We start from the raw sequence: 25,467 nt of genomic DNA on the forward strand, positions 1-25,467 counted from the left end.
TCAGATTCAAGTACACCTGATCAAAGACAGTATTTGAACCCGAGCCATCTCTGCTAAAGGCACGGCCTTAGTCACCCCCGGCTTTTCACCAAACACAAAGAAAAGAGAGGAGCACTTTTTGTCTTGCTACTAAAAAAACAATTAACAGACAATTTGTGGATAAGTGCATTATGCCCTTCATGGTGAGAATATTTCTCTTTTCCTTCTGATAGCATCATTTGGGTACACACCAAAGGCCAAGAGGGAGATAACAGCATCCAAATTATTATCTGGTCCAGTGTTAGTAAACACTTGTGTCAATAATCTTCTGGAAATCCAGAATTAATATGAATCTCTTTGAGCTAAACTTTGGCTTCATAAGTCATTCTTAGTGTAGCCCTATTGAGTCTTTTGTGCTCACAAAATTGAATCTGAGTTTCTTCTCTACCCGTTCTAGAATCATTCCAGGATTGGAATACTGATAAAAGGGACACATAATCAGAAAATGGGTTTCCAGCAAAATTTCGGTGGATATATCCCACTTTCCTTCATCAATGAAAACAGGTAGCAGCAGAGATGGTATAGACAGGATCTCTCTCATAGAAAATACACCCCATTATCATCGTTTTGCCAAGATGAGGCTCAATGGAGAGTTTAGTCAGGACCCATCCTAGAGAATTAAACTTATCATTGCCATATAATGCATCAAGCTCTCCAAGAGTGTGCTCTGCCTAAATCACAGGATCCAAAGGTGGAGGTCCTTGGATTGCCTTGGCCAGAAATTAGCCAATTTCTCCCAGACACAGGAGTTTCATACTCAACATAATCACCCCTCACTTTTGTCTTTTTTTAAATTTTATTTGGGTTTAGGGGTACATGCACAGAATTGTTGTATAGGTAAACTGTGTCACAGGGGTTTGGTGTCCAGATTATTTGGTCACCCAAGTAAGCATAGTACCCAATAGGTATTTTTTTATGCTCTCCTTCCTCCCACCCTCCACCCTTAAGCAGGCCCTGGTGTCTGTTGTTCCCCTTTGTGTCCATGTGTTTTCATTGCTTAGCTCTGACTTGTAAGTAAGAACATGTGGTATTTGGTTTTCTGTTCCCAGGATAATGGTCTCTAGCTCCAACCATGTTGCTGCAAAGGGAATGATCTCATTCTTTTTTATGGTTGCATAGTAATCCATGGCATATATGTACCACATTTTCTTTATCTAGTATACCACGTGTATAAGCATTCCCCTTTCTCCTCAACCTCACCATCATCTGTTACTTTTTGAGTTTTAATAATGGCCAGTCTGACTGGTATGAGATGGTATCTCATTGTGGTTTTGATTTGCATTTCCCTAAAAATTACTGATGTTGAGCATTTCTTATTCTTGTTGACCACATGTATGTCTTTTGACATGTATGTCCTTTGCCCACTTTTTAATAGTATTGTTTGGTTTTTGCTTGTAAATTTGATCATGTTCTGTATCGATTTTGCATATTGCACCTTTGTCAGATACATAGTTTGCAAATATTTTCTCCCATTCTTTAGGTTGTATCTTTATTGATATTATAGTTTCTCGTGCTGTGCAAAAGCTGTTTAGTTTAATTAGATCCAATTTATCAATTATTATTTTTGTTGCAATTGCTTTTGGCATCATTGTCATGAAATCTTTGCCAGGTCCTATGTCCAGAATGGTATTTCCTAGGTTTTCTTCTAGAGTTTTTATAGTTTTAGGTTTTACGTTTAAGTCTTTAATACATCTTCAGTTGATTTTATATACGGTGTAAGAAAGGGGTCCAGTTTCAATCTTCTGAATATTGCTAGCCAGTTATCCCACCACTATTTATTGAATAGCAAGTCCTTTCCCCATTGTTTGTTTTTGTTAGTTTTGTGGAAGATCAGATAGTTTTAGGTGTGCAGTTTTACTTCTGGGCCTCGATTCCGTTTCATTGGTCTATGTGTCTGTTTTCGTATCAGTGTTTTCATTACTACAGCCTTGTAGTATACTTTGAAGTCAGGTAACATGATACCTCCAGCTTTGTTCTTTTTGCTTATAATTGTTTGGGGTATTTGGATTCTTTTTTGGCTCTACATAAATTTTAGAATAGTTTCTTTCTAATTCTGTAAAGAATGTCATTGATAGTTTGATAGGAATAGCATTGAATCTGTAAATTACTTTGGGCAATATGGTCATTTTTATAATATTGATTCTCCCTATCCATGAGCATGGAATGTTTTTCCATTTGTGTATGTCATCTCTGATTTCTTGGAGTAGCGTTTTGTAATTGTCCTTGCAGAGATTTTACACCTCCCTAGTTAGCTACATTCCTAGGTATTTTATTCTTTTTCTGGCAATTGTAAACGGGATTGTGTTCCTGATTTGGCTCTCCACTTAGATGTTGTTTGTATATAGGAATGCTACAAATTTCTGTACATTGATTTTGTATCCCAAAACTTTGCTGAAGTTGTTTATCAGATCAAGAAGCTTTTAGGCAGAGACTATAGAGTTTGCTAGATATTGAATCATGTCATCTGCAAGCAGGGATAGTTTGACTTCCTCTTCTCCTATTTGGATGCCTTTTATTTCTTTCTCTTGCCTGACTCCTTGGGCCAGGACTACCAGTACTATGCTGAATAAGAGTGGTGAGAGAGGGTGTACTGGTCTCATTCTGGTTATCAAGGGGACCACTTCCAGCTTTTGCCTATTCAGTATGATGTAGGCTGTGGGTTTGTCACAGATGGCTCTTATTATTTTGAAGTATGCTCCTTCAGTGCCTAGTTTCTTGAGGGTTTTTACATAAAGGGATGTTAAATTTTATTGAAAGCTTTTTTGCATCTATTGAGATAATCATGTGGTTTTTGTTTTTAAGTTCTGTTTATGTGTTGAGTCTTATTGATTTGCATATGTTGAGCCAAGCTTGCATCCCAGGGATGAAGCCTACTTGGTTATGGTGGATTAGATTTTTGATGTGCTGCTGAGTTCAGTTTGCTACTATTTTGTTGAGGATTTTTGCATCTATTTTCATCAAGATGTTCAGCTTTTTATTGTGTCTCTGCCAGGTTTTGGTATCAGGATGATACCTGCTCCTCAACTTTTAGAATTAGTTTCACTAGGAGTGGTACTAGCTCTTCTTTATACAACTAGTTGAATTCAACTGTGAATCTGTCTGGTCCTGGGCTTTTTTTGGTAGGTAGGCTTTTTATTACTGATTCAATTTTGGAATTCACTATTAGTCTGTTCAGGGATTCCTGGTTCACTCTTGGGAGGTTGTATGTGTCCAGGAATTTATCCATTTCTTTTAGGTTTTCTGGTTTGTGTGCATAGAGGTGCTCATAGTAGTTCTGATGGTTATTTGTATTTCTGTGGGGTTGGTGGTAATGTCCCCTTTGTCATTTCTGATTGTGTTTATTTGGATTTTCTATATTTTCTTCTTTATTAGTCTACATAGCAGTCTATCTATCTTACTTATTCTTTCAAAAAACAAACTCCTGGATTTATTGATCTTTTGTATGGTGTTTTCACATCTCAAATTCCTTCAGTTCAGCTCTAATTTTGGTTATTTCTTGTCTTCTGCTAGCTTTGAGATTGGTTTGCTCTTGTGTCTCTAGTTTCTCAAGGTGTGATGTTAGGTTGTTAATTTTAGATCTTTCAAGCCTTTCGACGTGGGCATTTAGTGCTATAAACTTCCCTCTTAACACTGCCTTAGCTGTGTCCCAGAGATTCTTGTATGTTCTGTCTTTGTTTTCATTTGGTCAAAGAATTTCTTGATTTCTGCCATAGTTTCCCTATTTATCCAAAAATCATTCAAGAGTAGGTTGTTTCATTTCCATGTAATTTTACGGTTTTGAGCAATTTTCTTGGTATTGGTTTCTATTTTATTGTACTGTGATCTGAAAGTGTGGTTGGTATGATATCAATTGTTTTGAATTTGCCAAGGATTACAACTTTAGAGTTGTGCCATGTGGTGATGAGAAGAATGTTTTTGAACAGAGAGTACTGCAGGGTTTTATTAGGCCCATTTGGTTAAGTGTTGAGTTCAGGTCCTGAATATCTGTTAATTGTTTGCCTCAATGATCTGTCTAATACTGTCAGTGGGGTGTTGAAGTCCTGTACTCTAATTGTGTGGGAATCTAGGTCTCTGAGAAATTGCTTTATGAATCCAGGCACTCCTGTGTTAGGTGCATATATATTTAGGATACTTAAGTCTTCCAGTTGAATTAAAACTTTTGCATTATGTAATGCCCTTCTTTGTCTTTTTTTTTTTTTTTTATCTTTGTTGGGCTTAAAGTCTCTTTTGTCTGAAATTAGGACGTCAACCCCTGCTTTTCCATTTGCTTGGTAGTTTTCCATTTGCTTGGTAGGTTTTTCTCCATCCCTTTGTTTTGGGCCTATGAATGTTGCTGCATGTGAGATGGGTCTCCTGAAGACAGCATACCATTAGGTCTTGCTTCTTTATCCAGCTTGCCACTCTGTGCCTTTTAACTGGGGGAATTTAGCCCATTCATATTCAAGGCTAATATTGATATATGCCAATTTGATCCTGTCATCATATCGTTAGCTGGTTATTATGCAGACTTGCTTGTGTTGTTGCTTTATAGTGTCACTTGTCTATATGCTTAAGCATGTTTTTGTAGTGGCTGGTAATGGTCTTTCTTTTCCATATTTAGCACTCCTTTCAGGACCTATTGTAAAGCAGCAAGTCTGGTGGTAATGAATTCCCTCATTTGCTTGTCTGAAAGGGATTTTATTTCTCATTTATGAAGTTTAGTTTGTCTGGATATAAAATTCTGAGTTGAAAATTATTTTCCTTAAGAATGCTTAATATAGGCCCTTATTCTCCTCTGGCTTGTAGGGTTTCTGCTGAAAGGTCCACTGTTGACCTGATGGGATTTCCTTTCTAGATGAACGTCCCTTCTCTCTAGCTGCCTTTAACATTTTTTCTTTCATTTCAATGTTGAAGAATCTGATGATTATGTGTCTCGGGGATGGTCCCCTTATTTAGTATCTTGCTGAAGTTCTCTGCATTTCCTGAATTTGAATGTTGACATCTTTAGTGAGGTTGGGGAAGCTTTCACAGGTGATATTCTAAAATATGTTTTCCAAGTTGCTTGCTTTCTCTCCATCTCTTTCAGGGACAACAGTGAGTCATAGATTTGGTTTCTTTACATAATCCCATATTTCTTGGAGGTTTTGTTCATTCTTTTATATTCTTTCTTCTTCATTTTTGTCTGACAATTATTTCAACAAGACAGTCTCTAAGCTTTGACATTTTTTCCTCAGATTGGCCTATTCTCCTGTTAACACTTGTGATTGCATTATAAAATTCTTGCAGTATGTTTTTCAGCTCTATCAAATCTGTTTGGTTATTCCTTATAATGGCCATTTTTATCTATCAGCCTCTGTATTTTTTTAATGATCCTTAGCTTTCTTGCACTGGACTTTGACATTGTTTTCAACCTCAATGATCTTCATTCCTATCCATATTCTGAATTCTATTTCTGTCATTTCAGCCATTTCAGTCTGGTTAAGAATACCTGCTGGGGAACTAGTGAGGTCATTTGGAGACACTGGCTTTTTGAGTTGCCAGAGTTCTCGCACTGGTTCTTTTTCATCTGTGTTGGCTTGTGTTCTGATAACTGACGTGTAGTTTCAGTACAGTTAGTACACTTCTTTTCTGGGTGTTTTCAGAGGGCTGAGGCTTTGTGCAAGGTCTTATTTGTAGTTGAATTCTTTTTCTTGGTTTCAAATATTAGTAAAGTATTTTTGGTATTGAATTTTGGGCTGTGATCCAGTAGGTGGCACTTACACATAGTGGCCTGTAGGCAGCCACTTAATCAACAGTGTGGCTCCTCTTTATTTCCTCATGATTGCAGCCATGCTTCTTCTCAGTGCTTTGAAAGTATGGGTTCCTCTCCCACTTGAGTGCTGACTGCAAATCTTGGCTTGGGACTCTTGGGCAGAAGGGGAAGGGATCTTAGCAGTGGTTATGGCAGAGAGCCTTTCACTTGCCTCTTGGGGTTCCAACCCAGAGAGATGTGGACCCATTATTAATCAGTGCAATTGGCCCTGGATGGGGCACCTGTGCTTTGGGCTCAAGCTAGGAAGGCCCGCCTGGTGATGAGAGGGTGTCAGGGACAGGTAACAGGGAGACAGACTGGCCTCTTCTCCCTAGTGCAAGAGCAGCTTGCTGGAGGTGTGGTTAAAGCACTCAGGGTCTTCGCTGCTTCTCCAATTCAAGGACAGCAAGGTCACTACCACTGCAGTGGCAGTAGCAGAGGGCCTTTTGGTTGACTTCAGGAGCTCTACCTCAGAAAAATGTAGAGCCACTGCTACTGGGAAAATTCAGCCAGGAGGTGAGACAGTTGTTCTACTGGCTCTGCTTGTTGAGGAGTGGGGGTTCGAGTGCTCACAGGGATGAGCGACCAGGCTTCTCTCCATATGGTGACTGTGGTGTATTGGAAGCTCAGGTGAAGCCCTCAGGCTCTTGGTTTCTTCCCCAGACCAAGGGTAGCAGGGGCAGAACCATTGCTGTGGCAGTGGCAGAGGGTCTGCCAGTTGTCTCAGGGAGCCCCACCCCAGGGAAACTCAGAGACATTCCGTGGGTATGCTTAGCTGTGGATGGGTGGCTATTATGTGGTGCAAAGCCGGGGCCCTGCCTGGTAAAGAGTAAGGGGTGGGAGCTCCCAGGGAAGACAGATCACTCCTTTCCATATAGTGGCTGTAGTGTGCTGGAGATGCCCATGTAGTGACTGGCCCTTTGTTGCTTTCACACCAAGAGTGGTTAGGGTGATACCACTGCAGCTGCAATTCCAGAGGGGTTGTGGGCTGTCTCTGGGATTTCCTCCTCAGAGTAATGCTGAACCACCTGCAACTGAAATGTTCAGGTTGAAGCAAGTTAGCTGTGCTGGAATTCCAGGCTGAGAGGCCCTGCCTAGTAAGAAACAAGTAAGGTCCAGGACTCATGTGTAGAACACTCTGGCCACTTTTCCATGGGATGGCTGTGCTGTACAGGAGATCTGTACCACTCCCTAAACATTAAGTACTCTGCAGAGCCTGAAGGCTATATTGGCAGGGGCTGACAGACGACAAAGGTAACCAGCCTCTCTTTCTGGGAGCTCCATCCCAGGGAAGTGCAGAGCTGCTACCAGCCCAAGAGCACAGACAGGGGGTGGCTGGAGACCCAGACCACTGGGCCTCATCCTGTGAAATGCAGTGGAGGTGAAGCCTGGAGTCCACTGCTGCTCAGCCCTCTGGATTCAGCCACTTTCCTGGGGGAATGAAGGGAGCCCGACCTCTCCTACTGCTGGAGCTCCAGTCACTAATGCTGGGATACCTAGGAATTCATGGCTCCCAGGATTCCATGTGTGCCTGGGCAGCAGCTCTGCCCAGACTCCACACAGCTCTCATTGTCAGTCTGGAAGCTCTGGTGGGGTAGGCTTATGCATGGATCACCTGAGCCCAGGGTTGCAAAGGTCCATGGCAGAACTGTGGGTCCCTGGGGACTCTCACTCACTCACAATTTCCTGGCAGTGTGGGAGCCTACTCTGGCTCCATGCCACTCCTGGGTGGGCAGTTGTCCTGTCTCACTTTGCTCCATTCTCCATGGGTCAAGTTGTTTCCTTGATGAACCCTAATGTTTCCATCTAGATGTTCCAGTTGAAGATACAGTAGTTAATCACCACTTTCTTCTCTCTGTGAGAGAGGTGCACACTAGCTACTAATAGCCATCTTGGCCTCTCCCATGATCACCCCTCACTTTTCAATATTTTAATCAATTTGCCTTGTCTTTAGTCCAATTTCTTCACAGTTGTTCTCCATTGAAGGATCCTGAAGAGAAGCTCTAGTATCTTGATCTTTGTAGAGCAAGTTCCTGCTTTGAAAAACTAAGACCAAGGTTAGACATCTTGTAATTTATGTATATTTGTGAGGTTTATGTTTGTCGATGATGCTGTTGGTTAGGTTTTATTTGGGATGAGGGTTGAGGTTTTGTATTTTCATTTGTTTTGCCTTTTGGCTTATTTGTTGGTTTGATTTGTGGTGGTGCTCATTTATTGGCCTTCATTAGAAAATGAAGAGTAATTTCTCAAAGAACCACTGCAAATATATGTTTTCATTTAAAAGCTTCTATTCTTAAACTTTACCATTCATACAGAAACAGCAATCATTTTAACTGGACTTGGATTCCTACGGAAGTTATACACACCAGGGAATCCAGCATATCAAGATAAACAGGCTGTAGAGTACATATATATTAACATCATTTCTTCCTACTTATTGTAAAACACTCTTCTCATCACTTTTCCTCTCTTGGTTTCCTTTTTCAGCCTTAAGTTTATTATATACTCCATTTGAATGTGTCAGGATGCTTGCCAAAGTTAATAGAAGAGAGAAAAGAATACAGTTGAGGGAGAAAATAGATATTTCTCTTCTTTCAGGTGTATTGACAATTGTGACAAAACTTATTTTTACAAGGAAAGAGAACACAAGAAAACTGACATTTGGGCAAAAAACAGTTATGCAGTTTCCTGGCTGATCTCTACCATATTTGAGTCTGACTATGCTGCCATGAGTGGAGTATATACTGTAGCAATACTGAGAGTGAGAGAAGTCCTTGAGTACCTGTGACTGAAGAGGCCAGTGATGGGAAGTACTCATTCATTTTTTTAACAGTTTTAATGTGTTTACTTAGGCATGGGGAATACTCCTTGATCTTTATCTTTATTATCTCTACTATCTTCACTTCCCCAAGCCACATGCAGCAGCAAAAAAGGAGACGGAAACTGACAAAGGGAGATGTCAATCTAGCATGTAGTGAACTCCCTATTATGGACTGAATAAAGTAATGGCAACAAAAGCCAAATTTGACAAATGGGATCTAATTAAACTAAAGAACTTGTGCACGGCAAAAGAAAATACCATCAGAGTGAACAGGCAACCTACAGAATGGGAGAAAAATTTTGCAACCTGCTCATCTGACAAAGGGCTAATATCCAGAATCTACAATGAACTCAAACAAATTTACAAGAAAAAAACACAACCCCACCAAAAAGTGGGCAAAGGATATTAACAGATACTTCTCAAAAGAAGACATTTATGCAGTCAAAAGACACATGAAAACATGCTCATCATCACTGGCCATCAGAGAAATGCAAATCAAAACCACAATGAGATATCATCTCACGCCAGTTAGAATGGCAATCATTAAAAAGTCAGGAAACAATAGGTGCTGGAGAGGATGTGCAGAAATAGGAACACTTCTACACTGTTGGTGGGACGGTAAACTAGTTCATCCTTTGTGGAAGTCAGTGTGGCGATTCCTCAGGGATCTAGAACTAGAAATACCATTTGACCCAGCCATCCCATTACTGGGTATATACCCAAAGGATTATAAATCATGCTGCTATGAAGACACATGCACACATATGTTTATTGTGGCACTATTCACAATAGCAAAGACTTGGAACCAACCCATATGTCCGACAATGATAGACTGGATTAAGACAATGTGGCACACATACACCAGGGAATACTATGCAGCCATAAAAAATGATGAGTTCATGTCCTTTCTAGGGACATGGATGGAGCTGGAAACCATCACTCTCAGCAAACTATCACAAGGACAAAAAACCAAACACCGCATGTTCTCACTCATAGGTGGGAATTGAACAATGAGAACACATGGACACAGGAAGGGGAACATCACACACCGGGGCCTGTTGTGGGGTGGGGGGAGCGGGGAGGGATAGCATTAGGAGATATACCTAATGTTAAATGACGAGTTGATGGGTGCAGCACACCAACATGCCACATGTATACATATGTAACAAACGTGCACGTTTTGCTCATGTACCCTAAAACTTAAAGTATAATTTAAAAAAAAAAATGAAAACCTAACTTACACTGTGGCTACATTTGGAGATAAAACCTCTAAGGAAGTCATTAAGGTTAAATGAGGTCAGAAAGGTGGGTCATCGATCTGTTAAAATCAATGTCCTTATAAGAAGGTTCACAAGCAAGCTGTATCTCTCTTCACACATGCATAAAGAAGTCATATGAGTAGACAGCGAGAAGGCAGCCATCTGCCCAAGGGGAGATCCTTCACAAGACACCAACCATACCAGAACCTTGATCATGGAATTCCAGTGTCCAGAACTGAGAGAAAATAAACTGTTGTGTAAACTACCCAGTGTATAGTATTTTGTTACGACAGCCCTAACAGACTAATATATTCCCTAAGATGGGGAATCATTTTATTTTTCATTGTATCCTCAGGAGTATCAAGGTTGGATACATTATCTCTTTTATGGGTCCCATGCTAAATTAATTACTCAATAATAACTGCAAAGTGGTTAAAAATGAAAGTTCAATCAGAAGAAAACTAGGCAATACTGTATTTTTCTTGAATAATCCTCAGAATTTTGAAATATCCTTAGCAGAAAATGTCTATGAAAACAGAAAGCATCAAAAGATTCACAATAGGTTAGTACACCACACAAGAAGAAGGAGAGATAAAAGGAAGATAATAGAAATAAGAAATGTGTAGAATGAATTACCAAAAAAACTTGGGATGGGTGCAGTGGCTTGTGCCAGTAATCCCAGCTCTTTGGGAGGCCAAGAATGGAGAACTGCTGGAGGCCAGGAGTATGAGACCAATCTGGGCTACATAGTCTATAAAAAAATTTTTTTTAAATTAGGCAGGCATGGTTGTGTGCATCTATAATCCCAGCTACTTCAGAGGCTAAGGCGGGAGGATGACTTGAGCCCAGGAGTTCAAGGCTGCAGGGAGCTATAATCATGCCACTGCATTCTAGTCTGAACAACACAGAAAGACCTTGTTTAAAAATTTAAAAATTTTAAAAAACCTCGTCAGATATTGGTATTGAGTACATGAGAGAGAACTGTGTCAAGGACTGAATGTGACAAAGGAGAGCATTTAGAATTATATCAATGGCAGACACTACTACCTTTGTAGATAGCTACTACACAGCAAGCACTATACTATGAATTTAATATACTGTACTATTTAATATATATTATGCACCATATAGACATACATGTACACACACACACACATACACACACACACACACACGCCCCCCGAGAGAGAGAGATTGAAAGGGGAGAAGGGTAGGTTGTATCATATACAAGGTGCTATATCATTTGCCAGATATACAGTGATAAAACAATCCCTTTCTATCTGAAACTTAAGTTTAGTTTCCAACACTACATCATGGTGCAGAATCTTGTACTTATACATGTTCTTCTAAAATATTCTATGCATTTTGTAATCACCAGATGGATTCTTCCTGCCTGCTGCACAGACAAAATCAATCCACTGAGACCACAGCATTGCATGAGAGAGAGTTTAACTGCTGTGAGACCAGCCCTCACAGAAGAACTGGAGTTACCACTCAGATCAGTTTCCCTGAAGGCTTGGAGGTTATGGTTTTTACGGACAACTTGGTGGGCATGGGGCAAGGGAAGGGGTGCTCCTGATTGTTGGGGATGAAATCATAATGGTATGGAAAATGTTCCCTGTGAGCTTAGTCCACCTCTGGGTGGAGCCACAGGATCAGCTGAGTTACAGGTCACAAGTTCGGGTGGCATCAGTCTGAAAGATATTTCAAAAAAACAATCTTAGGTACTATAACAGCAAAGTTATCTATAGGAACAATTGGAATAGTCACAAATCTTGTGACCTCTGGTCACATGACCCCTGGGCAGTAAAGGATTATAGAAACTATTCCCATTTTAGCAGAATTCAGGCCCTTATCATAATCCTAATGTTGTGGCCTTTCATTAGATTTTTACAAAGGCAGTTTAGTTTGGGAAGACAGCTTGGGGGTCAGAAGCATGATTGAGGCCAGGCGCGGTGGCTCACACCTGTAATTCCAGCACTTTGGGAGGCCGAGGCAGGTGAATCACAAGGCCAGGAGTTTGAGACCAGCCTGGCCAACATGGTGACACCCCGTCTCTACTAAAAATACAAAAAATTATCTGGGCATGGTCACAGGAACTTGTAATCCCAGCTACTTGGGAGGCTGAGGCAGGAGAATCACTTGAACCTAGGAGGTGGAGGTTGTAGTGAGCCAAGATTGTGCCACTGTACTCCAGCACGGGCAACAGTGCAGAACTCTGCCTCAAAAAAAAAAAAAAAAAAAAAAAAAAAAAAAAAAAAAAAAAAAAAAGAAGCAAGATGGAGTCAACAATATAAGATTTTTTTTTTTTTGAAACAGGGTCTTTCTCTGTTACCCAGGGTTAATTGTCGTGGCACAATCATAGCTCACTGGAAACTCAAACTCCTGGGCTCAAGCAAACTTCCCACCTCAGCCTCCCAAGTAGCTGTGACTACTTCATAGCCACTGCAACTGGCTAATTTTTTTTTAATTATACTTTAAGTTCTAGGGTACATGAGCACAATGTGCACGTTTGTTACATATGTATACATGTGCCATGCTGGTGTGCTGCACCCAGTAACTCGTCATTTAACATTAGGTATATCTCCTAATGCTATCCCTCCCCGCTCCCCCCACCCCACAACAGGCCCTGGTGTGTGATGTTCCCCTTCCTGTGTCCATGTGTTCTCATTGTTCAATTCCCACCTATGAGTGAGAACATGTGGTATTTGGTTTTTTGTCCTTGCGATAGTTTGCTGAGAGTGATGGTTTCCAGCTTCATCCATGTCCTTACAAAGGACATGAACTCATCATTTTTTATGGCTGCATAGTATTCCATGGTGTATGTGTGCCACATTGTCTTAATCCAGTCTATCATTGATGGACATTTGGGTTGGTTCCAAGTCTTTGCTATTGTGAATAGTGCCACAATAAACATATGTGTGCATGTGTCTTTATAGCAGCATGATTTATAATCCTTTGGGTATATACCGAGTAATGGGATGGCTGGGTCAAATGGTATTTCTAGTTCTAGATCCCTGAGGAATCGCCACACTGACTTCCACAATGGTTGAACTAGTTTACAGTCCCACCAACAGTGTAAAAGTGTTCCCATTTCTCCACATCCTCTCCAGCACCTGTTGTTTCCTGACTTTTTAATGATTGCCATTCTAACTGGCGTGAGATGGTATCTCATTGTGGTTTTGATTTGCATTTCTCTGATGGCCAGTGATGATGAGCATGTTTTCATGTGTCTTTTGACTACATAAATGTCTTCTTTTGAGAAGTGTCTGTTAATATCCTTTGCCCACTTTTTGATGGGGTTGCTTGTTTTTTTCTTGTAAATTTGTTGGAGTTCACTGTATGTAGATTCTGGATATTAGCCCTTTGTCAGACGAGTAAATTGCAAAAATTTTCTCCCATTCTGTAGGTTGCCTGTTCACTCTGATGGTAGTTTCTTTTGCTGTGCAGAAGCTCTTTAGTTTAATTAGATCCTGTTTGTCAATTTTGGCTTTTGTTGCCATTGCTTTTGGTGTTTTAGACATGAAGTCCTTGCCCATGCCTATGTCCTGAATGGTATTGCCTAGGTATTCTTCTAAGGTTTTATGGTTTTAGGTCTAATATGTAAGTCTTTAATCCATCTTGAATGAATTTTTGTATAAGGTGTAAGGGAGGGATCCAGTTTCAGCTTTCTACATATGGCTAGCCAGTTTTCCCAGCACCATTTATTAAATAAGGAATCCTTTCCCTACTTCTTGTTTTTGTCAGGTTTGTCAAAGATCAGATCGTTGTAGATATGTGGCATTATTTCTGAGGGCTCTGTCCTGTTCCATTGGTCTATATCTCTGTTTTGGTACCAGTAGCATGCTGTTTTGGTTACTATAGCCTTGTAGTATAGTTTGAAGTCAGGTAGCGTGGTGCCTCCAGCTTTGTTATTTTGGCTTAGGATTGACTTGGCAATGTGGGTTCTTTTTTGGTTCCATATGAACTTTAAAGTAGTGTTTTCCAATTCTGTGAAGAAAGTCATTGGTAGCTTGATGGGGATGGCATTGAATCTATTAATTACCTTGGGCAGTATGGTCATTTTCATGATATTGATTCTTCCTACCCATGAGCATGGAATGTTCTTCCATTTGTTTGTATCCTCTTTTATTTCCTTGAGCAGTGGTTTGTAGTTCTCCTTGAAGAGGTCCTTCAAATCCCTTGTAAGTTGGATTCCTAGGTATTTTATTCTCTTTGAAGCAACTGTGAATGGGAGTTCACTCATGATTTGGCTCTCTGTTTGTCTGTTATGGGTGTATAAGAATGCTTGTGATTTTTGCAATTGATTTTGTATCCTGAGACTTTGCTGAAGTTGCCTATCAGCTTAAGGAGATTTTGGGCTGAGACGATGGGGTTTTCTAGATATACAATCATGTAATCTCCAAACAGGGACAATTTGACTTCCTCTTTTCCTAATTGAATACCCGTTATTTCCTTCTCCTGCCTGATTGCCCTGGCCAGAACTTCCAACACTATGTTGAATAGGAGTGGTGAGAGAGGGCATCCCTGTCTTGTGCCAGTTTTCAAAGGGAATGCTTCCAGTTTTTGCCCATTCAGTATGATACTGGCTGTGGGTTTGTCATAGATATCTCTTATTATTTTGAGATATGTCCCATCAATACCTAATTTATTGGGAGTTTTTAGCATGAAGGGTTGTTGAATTTTGTCAAAGGCCTTTTCTGCATTTATTGAGATAGTCATGTAGTTTTTGTCATTGGTTCTGTTTATATGCTGGATTACATTTATTGATTTGCGTATGTTGAACCAGCCTTGCATCCCAGGGATGAAGCCCACTTGATCATGGTGGATAAGCTTTTTGATGTGCCCCTGAATTCAGTTTGCCAGTATTTTATTGAGGATTTTTGCATCGATGTTCATCAGGGATATAGGCCTAAAATTATCTTTTTTTGTTATGTCTCTGCCAGGCTTTGGTATCAGGATGATGCTGGCTTCATAAAATGAGTTAGGGAGGATTCCCTCTTTTTCTACTCATTGGAATAATTTCAGAAGTAATGCTACCAGCAACTCCTTGTACCTCTGGTAGAATCCAGCTGTGAATCCATCTGGTCCTGGACTTTTTTTGGTTGGTAGGCTATTAATTATTGCCTCAATTTCACAGCCTGTTATTGGTCTATTCAGAGATTCAACTTCTTCCTGGTTTAGTCTTGGGAGGGTGTATGTGTTGAGGAATTTAGCCATTTCTTCTAGATTTTCTAGTTTATTTGTGTAGAGGTGTTTATAGTATTCTCTGATTGTAGTTTGTATTTCTGTGGGATCGATGGTGATATCCCCTTTATCATTTTTTTTTTGCATCTATTTGATTCTTCTCTCCTTTCTTCTTTATTAGTCTTGCTAGCAGGCTATCAATTTTGTTGATCTTTTCAAAAAACCAGCTCCTGGATTCATTGATTTTTTGAGGGGATTTTTGTGTCTCTATCTCCTTCAGTTCTGCTCTGATCTTAGTTATTTCTTGCCTTCTGCTAGCTTTTGAATGTGTTTGCTCTTGCTTCTCTAGTTCTTTTAATTGTGATGTTCGGGTGTCAATTTTAGATCTTTTCTGCTTTCTCTTGTGGGCATTTAGTGCTATAGATTTCCCTCTACACACTGCTTTGAATGTGTCCCAGAGATTCCGGTATATTGAGTCTTTGTTCTCATTGGTTTCAAAGATCATCTTTATTTCTGCCTTCCTTTCGTTATGTACCCAGTAGTCACACAGGAGCAGGTTGTTCAGTTTCCATGTAGTTGAGCGGTTTTGAGTGAGTTTCTTAATCTTGAGTTCTAGTTTGATTGCACTGTGGTCTGAGAGACAGTTTGTTATAATTTCTGTTCTTTTACATTTGCTGAGGAGTGCTTTACTTCCAAATAAGTGGTCAATTTTGGAATAGGTGTGGTGTGGTGCTGAAAAGAATGTATATTCTGTTGATTTGGGGTGCAGAGTTCTGTAGATGTCTAATTTTTTTTAAATATTTATAGAGATGGAGTCTCACCACATTGCCTAAGTTGGTCTTCAACTTGTGGGCTCAAGCAATTCTTCCGCCTTGGCCTCCCCAAGTGCTGGGATTACAAGCATGAGCCACTGTTCCCTGCCTGTCAGATTTCTGACATAATCTTGCAAAGGTGGTTTCACTCTTTCCTTTATTACTCCATTCAATATATGTTTATTGAGTGCACGTACTCTTTTACCTCAATAAATGGAACCTAGATTCTTCCAATCGGGCAAGTCAAGAACCATGAAAGTATTATCACTGTTCTATTTCTCTCATATCCAATCCATCAGCAAGTCCTATCAGCTCCTCATTCTAAATATAGCTCAAATATGACTGCTTCTTACCACCTTTACCACTTTGGTCAAAAGAGCTATCATTTCTCACTTGAGTGATTTCAAGAGCCACTTTATTGGTCTCCTTGCTCCTACTCATTCCAACTCTGGCTCCTTGTTGTGCAAATAAAATCAATCAGATATCAGACTTTCTGCTACAGTATTTATTGAGAGAACTGCATAGCAAAACAAATAGTAGCATATGTGTAAGTTCACCTTTGCCCACTGAATTCTGAAATAACAAAAAAGGATCTAATGGGACTGAACATCAAACTCCAGCCATTGGATTGTAGGGCTTTTAAGCTACCTAATGAGGGAAACACCAAACTACTCTGGTATGATCACAGAGGCATCCAACTGTAGTAATTATGTCATGGCCAAAATTGATCTTCAGTCCTCTTCCACCACGTTGGCATCCTTCAGTTAAAGGAACAACAGCCTTTCACCTGGTGTGGTCAGTGGATTCGCATACAAGGTTTGTAGTTCTTATTTATGATGTGACAGACCAGTGATCTACTTCGCCATTTCAGCATCCTGTCAGAATTGATTGCCTTAAGTATTTGGTTTTCCAGGGAGCTCTAAAAGAAGCCAATTTCTAGTCTAGGAGGCCAGTTGAAGGGAATCAGTATTGAATATGATGATCCTACCAGCTATCCATCTAAATAACTTAACACAAGCAGTAAATATGACCCACCTAAATCAAAACTCATATAATGCCCTTCCTCTATTCCAAGGCCTCCAGTAGTTTCCCATTTCACTCAGAGTAAAATCCAAAGCCCTTACTTTAGCCTACAAGGCTCTACAAGATCTGCCTACCTTTCTACTTCCTCTTCATTCTTACTATTATCCCCATCACTCACTCCTATCCATCCACACTGTTCCTCTGACAATCTCACCAAGCTTTTGCATTTGCTGTTCCTTCTGCCTAGAATATTTTCTCCCTAGATACCAACAATGTAAAAAAAAAAAAAAGTAACTTTGGTGAAAAATCAGAAAGACATGAAAACCAAATTAATCTACTTGGTTTTTTTTTTTAATAAAAATCCCCCCAATCATTTAAAATAGAAAAAAAAACAAAAACAAAAAACCCTGGCCCATTGATATCACTAGGACACTCAGAAGAAGCCATAGCAAAATCATTTTGGATGACAATTTTTATGAGCTAGGCCACAAAGGATTTGCACAGTTGGGGTAGGGGTGAGAAGGAGAAGAGTTCCACTGAAGATATTATAGTGAGTAAATTAATATTTTTGGCCAGGTATTGTGGCTCATGCCTGTAATCCCAGCACTTTGGGCGGCCAAGGCAGGTGGATCACTTGAGATCAGGAGTTCGAGACCAGCCTGGCCCACATGGTGAAACCCCATCTCCACTAAAAATATAAAAGTTAGCTGGGCATGGTGTTGCATTCCCCAGCTACTCAGGGGGCTGAGGCTGAGGCTGAGGCATGAGAATCACTTGAACCTGGGAAACGGAAGTTGCAGTGAGCCAAAATCATGCCACAGCACTCCAGCCTGGGTGACAGAGTGAGACTCTGTCTCAACCAAAAATAAAAAAGAATATTTTCATGTTACTAGATGGTTCTGGCTTTCTGAGCAAATTTTACCAGAAGCTAAATTAGAGGCCAAGACTTGGAAGTTAAATGATGACAGAATAGACAGTGAGAGGACTTTTTAGAGATATACCTTCCTGGATGTTTACATTTCAAAGGAGGATAAGACACAGAGACATTCAGGCATTGTAAATCCAGACGCAACTGTCTTATCTTCTGCCTTGCAACACTTATTTACATTGCAAAGTGTAAGTACCCAGGACTCCTTCTTTTCTCTTCCCTTATTTACATTTGAAAGACTAGGTTTCTCTCACTCTGAGGTGGGCAGGATGGCAGATGTTTAAACTATCCTATATAAACTGCCCGAATCATAATATCAGAGTTCCTTTTCTGCAGTATAGTTCCTGGTACATGTAGAATGACTTAGACTCTCACCATATTGTTCCAGAGGATGAAAAAATTGGGCAAGAAGAACGAATGCAGTTATTGATGTAAGAAATAATACCTTTGATCTCTGCTTCAGAAACTTCATGTTTATATTCAAGTTAAGATATATAAACATAGATTTTTTAGACTTATTTTAAAATCTAAACTCACAAAACACACAAGAAAATAATCCCCCATGAAAAATAGCCGACCTATCAAATGGAAGGATGAGCAGCCCAGGAACTTGAAAAAAGGGAACAATCTGAAAAGGACTATAAAATGATGGTATTTAAATGTTTTTAAAAGATAAAAGGAGGCACAAAACACGTAAGGAACAAGACAGCATGAAGGAAAAATAGACAAATTTAAAGAGAATCAAACATAAATTCTTGATTTGAAATTAATAGACTCAATGGCTTAAGTTTGAAAGCTGTTAGGAAACACTAAAGAGAAACAACTAGTATAAGATTCCCATGCAGAATACAATACAAAGAGATAGAGATAAAAAAGCCCAAAGGAAGGTTAAGAGATACAGAAGTGAGAATGATCAAGCACAACATACTTGTAAGAGCAGTCCCAGAAAGCAAATAGCAACAATATGAGAGAAGCAATAATCAATGAGCTAAAGGAAGAAAATTTTTAATAATTGATAAAAAGACATGATTTTTTTCATGTTGACTAGCACACCAAATTAAAAATAAATAGACAAATCCTAGACACCAATGACAAAGAATTATATAAGCAATCTTAGATTTAAAAAAAAGACCCACAAGGAACCATAATGTGACTTTTAGATAATAACAGAATAATATCTACAAAATTGATCACAGCAGGAGGCAGACAAATTCCTAGGCAGACAAGGGTGGGTCCCTGGTGAAACCCGACCTTCAAACCAAAGACAAATTAAAGCCTGAAAACCAAGCTGCCAGTCTGGGTGAAGTCCCTGACCAGGGTGAGAATTTCCTTGATGCCTTTTAGCCAATCAAGTGATGCTTTTTCCAGTGCTGCCCATGGACCAATTGGCACACACTCCCCATTCTGAGCCCATAAAAACCTCAGACTCAGCCACATGCTGGGACTACCTGCCTTCAGGTAGGGGCTACCCACCTCAGGTCCTCTCAACTGAGAACTGTTTTTTGTTTTTGTTTTTGTTTTTGAGACAGAGTCTCACTCTGTCACCAGGCTGGAGTGCAGAGGCGTGATCTCAGCTCACTGCAATCTCCACCTCCCGGGTTCAAGTGATTCTCCTGCCTCAGCCTCCCGAGTAGCTGGGACTACAGGCACACCACCAAGCCCAGCTAATTTTTGTATTTTTAGTAGAGACAGGGTTCCTCCATGTTGGCCAGGATGGTCTTGATCTCTTGACCTCGTGATCCACCCGCCTTGGCCTCCTAAAGTGCTGGGATTCCAGGCGTGAGCCACCACACCCAGCCGAGAGCTATTCTGTTGCTCAACAAAATTTTCTCCACCTTGCTCACTCTTTGGTTATCCTTGTAACCTCATTCTTAAATGTGGGAAAAGAATCTGGGACCCGCCAAAAGGCAGGTGCCAAAGGAGCCGCTGTAACAGTATAGCCCCCGTGTACTCCACCAGCACCAGACAGCCACCCCATGCAACAGGAAACAAGGTGCCAGGCCAGCCCAGAAGCCACAGCCCAGAATCGGGCGAAGGGACTGAATGAGCTGTAACACAAACTAACTGAAACCCACTCCTTCTGCCAATTCACTGTGCTGCTGGAAGCAAGAAGAGAAGAGTTGCAACCCTTCTGGGAGCCCAGACCTCAGGGCTCCTCAGGCCAGAGCTGTGACATGCTGTAACACTGCCTTTGGGGTTCTGTGGTTGCTGGCATCTCCAAGTTTTGGGGGCACCACTGCTTTCCCCTTGTCTAGACACGGGCGTCTAAGATGGAAGCCTCTTGCAGTACGTCTGGTCTAGCTGCAGCCTCACACAGAGCTGGCACCTGAAGCCGCCTGCCCTGCAGCAGTAGCCGGCACACCTGGCTTGCCCTTGGTGGGCCTGAGATCTAGGCCAGTAGCAAAAGCCAAGCACAGCCTGCTGGGCTGAGTGGGCGGAGCTAGCTCAGTCATCCTGAGTGAAACTTGAGCAGAGGCACCATTGGCCACAAGGTCCCCAGCTGGCAAAACAGCCCCCCAAAAATCCTGTGTCAAAATGTTGGAAAATAATAATCAGTTCTGGACTTTTGCCCAGTTAAATAATTATTCAAAAGCAGAAGGAAATAAAAACAGCTTCAAACAGTTTTAAACAAGCAAGAGCAATGTTTATCATTAGCATATATGTTTAAAAGAACTATATTTTTTAAAAAATTTAATGAAGAAAAACATTGAACATGAAGAGACCAGAGTGAAGAAATAAATTAGCAAATATGAGTATATCTGAAAAAGTATTGACTATAAATGTAAATTTTTAACATAATGACCACTTTTAAAAGGTTTAAAAATTAAGGTGAAAATAAAATATTATACAATGTATCAAAAAATAGAATAAATAAAAAAGAAAAAGTATTCTACAGTTCAGAAACAAGGTATATTCCCTAGAGGTAGACTTGTAGAAAAAAATACATAAATATTGGTTAAATTTAGAATTTATTGAGTCAAATATGCATGTTAAAAATGAAAAGGTAGCAAAGAACAGAAGTAGAAGTCACAACTTTCAAACCAGTAAAAGGAAGAAAGAATAAAGAAAATTTGATCAATCTGATACAAAGCAAGAAAGGAAATAAAAGGAAGTATAGGAAAATACATATAGTAAATAAAAACCACAAAAGACGATAGAAATAATTCCAAATATATCGGTAGCCTCAATAAATATAAACAGAATAAACAACTACTTAAAATATAGATAGTCATGTTGAACTACAAAACTCCAACTCTATGTTTCTTACAACAGATGTACCTAAAGTATAACAATGAAGAAATACTGGCAGTAAAAGTGTGAAAATGATGAAATAAAAAAATTAACCAAAATAGTTAAATTGTTAACAACCAAAATAGACTTTAATGCAAAGATCATTATTGATAAAGAAGCTATTTATGTAATAGTCAGAAGACTAATTTACCAAAAAAATAGAACAAGCCTGAAACTGTATTTACTTCACAACATAGCCTCTCAATAGATAAGCAAAAAATTACAGACATGAAAATTTGAATTGAATCTGTATATATCTTATCATATAGACTCAAAATCCACAAACAAGAACTTAACAAGATTACAAGAAAAAATTAACAAGTTTCCAACCATGGTGAGCTTTTAAAATATATTTCCATTAGTAATTAATGGATCAAGCAGAGAAAAAATTGAACTGTGCTGTTCTAAAGGATTAGATTTTAAAATACTAACTATTTGAGAATAAATTCTTTTAAAAACCCAGCCTATGAAATATATCAAGAAAAAGACTGTACTCTTTTGAGGTCATTTCTCAATTATAGATATGCTGATCAGGAGCAACTGTATCCAATAGACCTTTCAGCAATAATAAAATTGTTCTCTATCTATGCAGTCAAATAAGGTAGCCTTTAAAATCAAGTGTGATTAAAACAACTAAGGAATTAATTTTAATTTTAGTTTTAATTCATTTAATTTAATTAAAATTTACTTAATGTAATTTATTAATTTATTCTATTTAATTTAAATTTAAATGGCCACATGGTTACCATATTGACAGTGAAGTTTTAGAGTAGTATTAGTAAAAAGTTTATATCTTTCAATGCTTACATTAGAAAAGAAAAATTGTCAAAATGAACAAGCAAAGTTCCTAATTTAAAAGGCAGAAAAATATAAAATCAAAGAACATAGAAAGGAAAAGGTAACAAAGAGTAGAAAATAATAAAATTTCTAAAAAGTTACAAAAATTTTAAAGACTAATAAGATAAGCCTCTGGCAAAAATAATTAAGAAAAATGAAATACATAAATGTAAAATTTTGGGAGTGAAAAATGTACAGCAAACTTTTTAAACTTAACCAAGTACAATAAATACAATTTTTTTAAGTTTAAAAAGAAACAGAAGAAATAAATAGATTTAAACTTAAAAAGACATCAAAGTAGTAGCAAAACTGTACCAAGATAAAACAGAGCAAAACAAAAATCTTCCCAGATAGTTTGACCAATTCTACCAAAACTAAAAAATTAATCTCTACCTTCTATAAACATTCTAAAAAATAGAAAAAAAATTAAATTCTAACCCATGTATTATCCTAATATAACCTTGAAACCAAAATCAACCAGAGTACAAAAAATAAACATTATATGCCAATTTTATTTATGTGTCAAAACTCTATAAAATAATATTTTCTAGCAATGTAATTTTTAATTATACCACATAAAACTATGAAAGCAAGGATGCTTTGCTAATATAAACTCTATTGCTGTAATTTTTCCAATCAACAGAGTAAAGAGAAACTAACAAAATTATCTCAAAAGAGAATACTATTAGATAATAATAAAGACTGCTGGCTGTGTTCCATAGTTCAAAGTTCTGCATCTATAAATTTATTTATTCTTTACAACAACGTCTGATGTATTTTTATTTTCATTTTATTTTCTTATTAGGCATTGTCATTGACTAACAAAATAGGCAATAACAAATAACAAAGCTGTGGCAGAGAGAAGCTCAATGTCATCCAGCTTACTAGTGGCAAGTCCAGGATTTGAAATCAGACTGATTTCAACATCCATGCTCTTAACTACAACATATGTTCTTTCTCAAGTCCCAGTTGCTATTTTTAGGGGGAAATCTTAGCAAACTACGAATAGACGTAATATCCAAAGATCTAAGAAAGTATCTACTAACAAACAATCTATAGTTATGCATTGTTTAATGACAGGGATATGTTCTGAGAAACATATCGTTGGGCAATTTTGCCATTTTGTTAACACAATAGAGTGTACTTACACAAACCTAGATGGTACACCCTACTACACACTTAGGCTACATGGTATAGCCTATCGCTCCTAGGCTACAAACCTGTACAGCATGTTGCTGTACTGAATACTGTAAGCAACTGTAACACAATGGTATTTGTGTATCTAAACATAGAAAAGGAAAAGGTACAGTAAATATATGAAAGATTTTTAAACGATACTTCTGTATAGGCACTTACCATGAATGGGGCTTACAAGTCAAGTCTGGAAGTTGCTCTGGGTGAGTCAGTAAAGGAGTGGTGAGTAAATGTGAAGGCCTAAGACATTACTCTACACTACTGTAGACTTTATAAACACTGTACACTTACGCTACATTAAATTTATTTTATTTTACAATAATAAATTAAACTTAGCTTACTGTAACTTTTCTACTTTACACATCTTTTAATTTTTTTACTTTTTGCCTCTTTTGTTGTTACATTTTAGCTTAAAACACAAACACACATTATAGAGCAATACAAAAATCTTTTCTTTCTTTATATCCTTATTTTATGAGATTTTTTCTATTTTTAATTTTTTACATTTTAAACTTTTTTGTTAAAAACTGAAACACAGGAACACACACTAACATAGGCCTACATGAGGTCAGGAATATCAGTATCATAGTCTGCCACCTGCACATCTTGTCCCAATTAAAGCTCTTCAGGGACAATAACATACATGGATCTGTTATCTACTATGATTAACAATGCCTTCTTCTAGAATACCTCCTGAAGGACCTGTCTGAGGCTGTTGTTCAGTTAACTTTTTTTTTAATAAGTGGAAAGAGTACACTCTAAAATAATAATAAAAAGTATGGTAAATACCTAAACCAGTGACATGTATTATTTATCAAGTATTATGTACTGTACATAATTTTATGTGCTATACTTTTAAATGACTGGCAGTGCAATAGGTTGTTTACACCAGCATCAATACAATGACAAGAGTAATGCACTGCTCTACAACTTTAGGAAGGCTACAAATGCACTAGTTGATAGGAAGTTTTCAGCTCCATTATAATCATATGGGACCATAATCATACATGTAGTCGGCTGTTCACCAAAACGTCATTATGGAGCACACAACTGTACTTCATAATAAAATGTTGAACATCCTATTTAAAGACACAAACAAGAAAAAATGCATGCATGTTTCTAGATAGCTGGCTATTTTTATGATAAAATATAAAATCACACCAACACCTCGTATGTATACAAAATTAATTCAATATGAACTTAAGACCTTGGTATGAAAAGCAAAACTTACTATAGTAGAACATGTTTGTGACTTGAAGGTAGAGAAGGATTTCTTAAATGAGACACAAAAAACAAAAACCAGAAAAGAAATGGTCAATGAACTTGACCATAGGTAATAACCATGTATTCTACTACTACGGAAGATTACAGACATTAGAGAATAAATAGTGGTAACAGTTATTCTACATTTACTAATCTAATCTTTGCCACCATTTCTTTTTTCTGGCTAGTGTTTCTGAGTTACTTGTGTTAAATTGCTGTATGTTCTTTAGGTAGGGGTATGTATAATCAGGGCTGATAGCCTCTACCTAAAACATACCATTTTCACAAATAACCTCTATGCTATGAGAAAAGCTCCAAATTATTCTATTTCTGTCATTTAACACTATCAGAGTGCCAAAAAAGAGTAACATGGAAGATATTTCAAACTATCTCATGAGCCTTGACAGGATTACATCATAAGGACAATAGAAAGTATTTTTGAATCTACCTCTAGCACTAATTTAATAATGTATTCATAGCGTTTCTTTTGTTCTTTCAAAAATATTTCTTATTCATTTGCTGTCCACAAGGTTCTTAGCACACATTAAGACAGGTAGAAATATTTAAACTAACAGTTTCTCTGGCTTGGAGAAGTTGGGTATTGGGAGGGCTGAGTGGAACAATAGCACTTTTTTTTTTTTAAGAGACAGCTTTCGTTCTGTCACCTAGGCTGGAGTGCAGTGATGGGATCATAGCTCACTGCAGCCTCAAACTCCTGGGCTCAAGCAATCCTAATGCCTCAGCTTCCCAAGGAACTAAGACTAAAGGCTTTGTCACCATGCCCTACTAACTTATTTTATTTATTTATTTATTTATTTTGTAGAGAGAGGGTCTCACTATGTTGCCCAGGCTGGTCTTGAATTCCTGGCCTCAAGCTGTCCTCCCACCTCAACCTTTTAAAATGGTGAGATGACAAGCATGAGCCACTGCACCTGGACCCAAATATTTTCAATAGAGTGTAATTATTCTAATAGAATTAAGTGGCCTCTTCCCTTTCTCTGCTCCAAGCCCTCAGATGACAATCTTTATAGGACTGTCTTGTG

At 38.5% G+C, this 25,467-nt stretch overlaps 1 protein-coding gene and 1 pseudogene across 12 annotated transcripts in view, besides 2 other annotated features; both read right to left on the bottom strand.

Annotated features, from left to right (window-relative positions):
* Window positions 1–25,467, bottom strand: part of DLG2 (discs large MAGUK scaffold protein 2) — a 2,173,362-nt gene that overhangs the window by 1,997,948 nt on the left and 149,947 nt on the right. The gene's annotated exons all lie outside the window — the stretch shown is intronic.
* On the bottom strand, window positions 82–797 carry LOC100421303 (DExH-box helicase 9 pseudogene; annotated as a pseudogene).
* Window positions 17,855–18,574: an enhancer, noted in NCBI's record as "OCT4-NANOG-H3K27ac hESC enhancer chr11:85181858-85182577 (GRCh37/hg19 assembly coordinates)". NCBI's record gives its function as "activates a minimal SCP1, AML or CMV promoter by ChIP-STARR-seq in primed H9 embryonic stem cells {active_cell/tissue: H9 hESC(primed)}" and the evidence as "EXISTENCE:reporter gene assay evidence [ECO:0000049][PMID:30033119]".
* Window positions 19,646–20,542: an enhancer, noted in NCBI's record as "H3K27ac-H3K4me1 hESC enhancer chr11:85183649-85184545 (GRCh37/hg19 assembly coordinates)". NCBI's record gives its function as "activates a minimal SCP1, AML or CMV promoter by ChIP-STARR-seq in naive H9 embryonic stem cells {active_cell/tissue: H9 hESC(naive)}" and the evidence as "EXISTENCE:reporter gene assay evidence [ECO:0000049][PMID:30033119]".

Source organism: Homo sapiens, chromosome 11 (genome assembly GCF_000001405.40).
Source record: "Homo sapiens chromosome 11, GRCh38.p14 Primary Assembly".
NCBI lineage: Eukaryota > Metazoa > Chordata > Mammalia > Primates > Hominidae > Homo > Homo sapiens.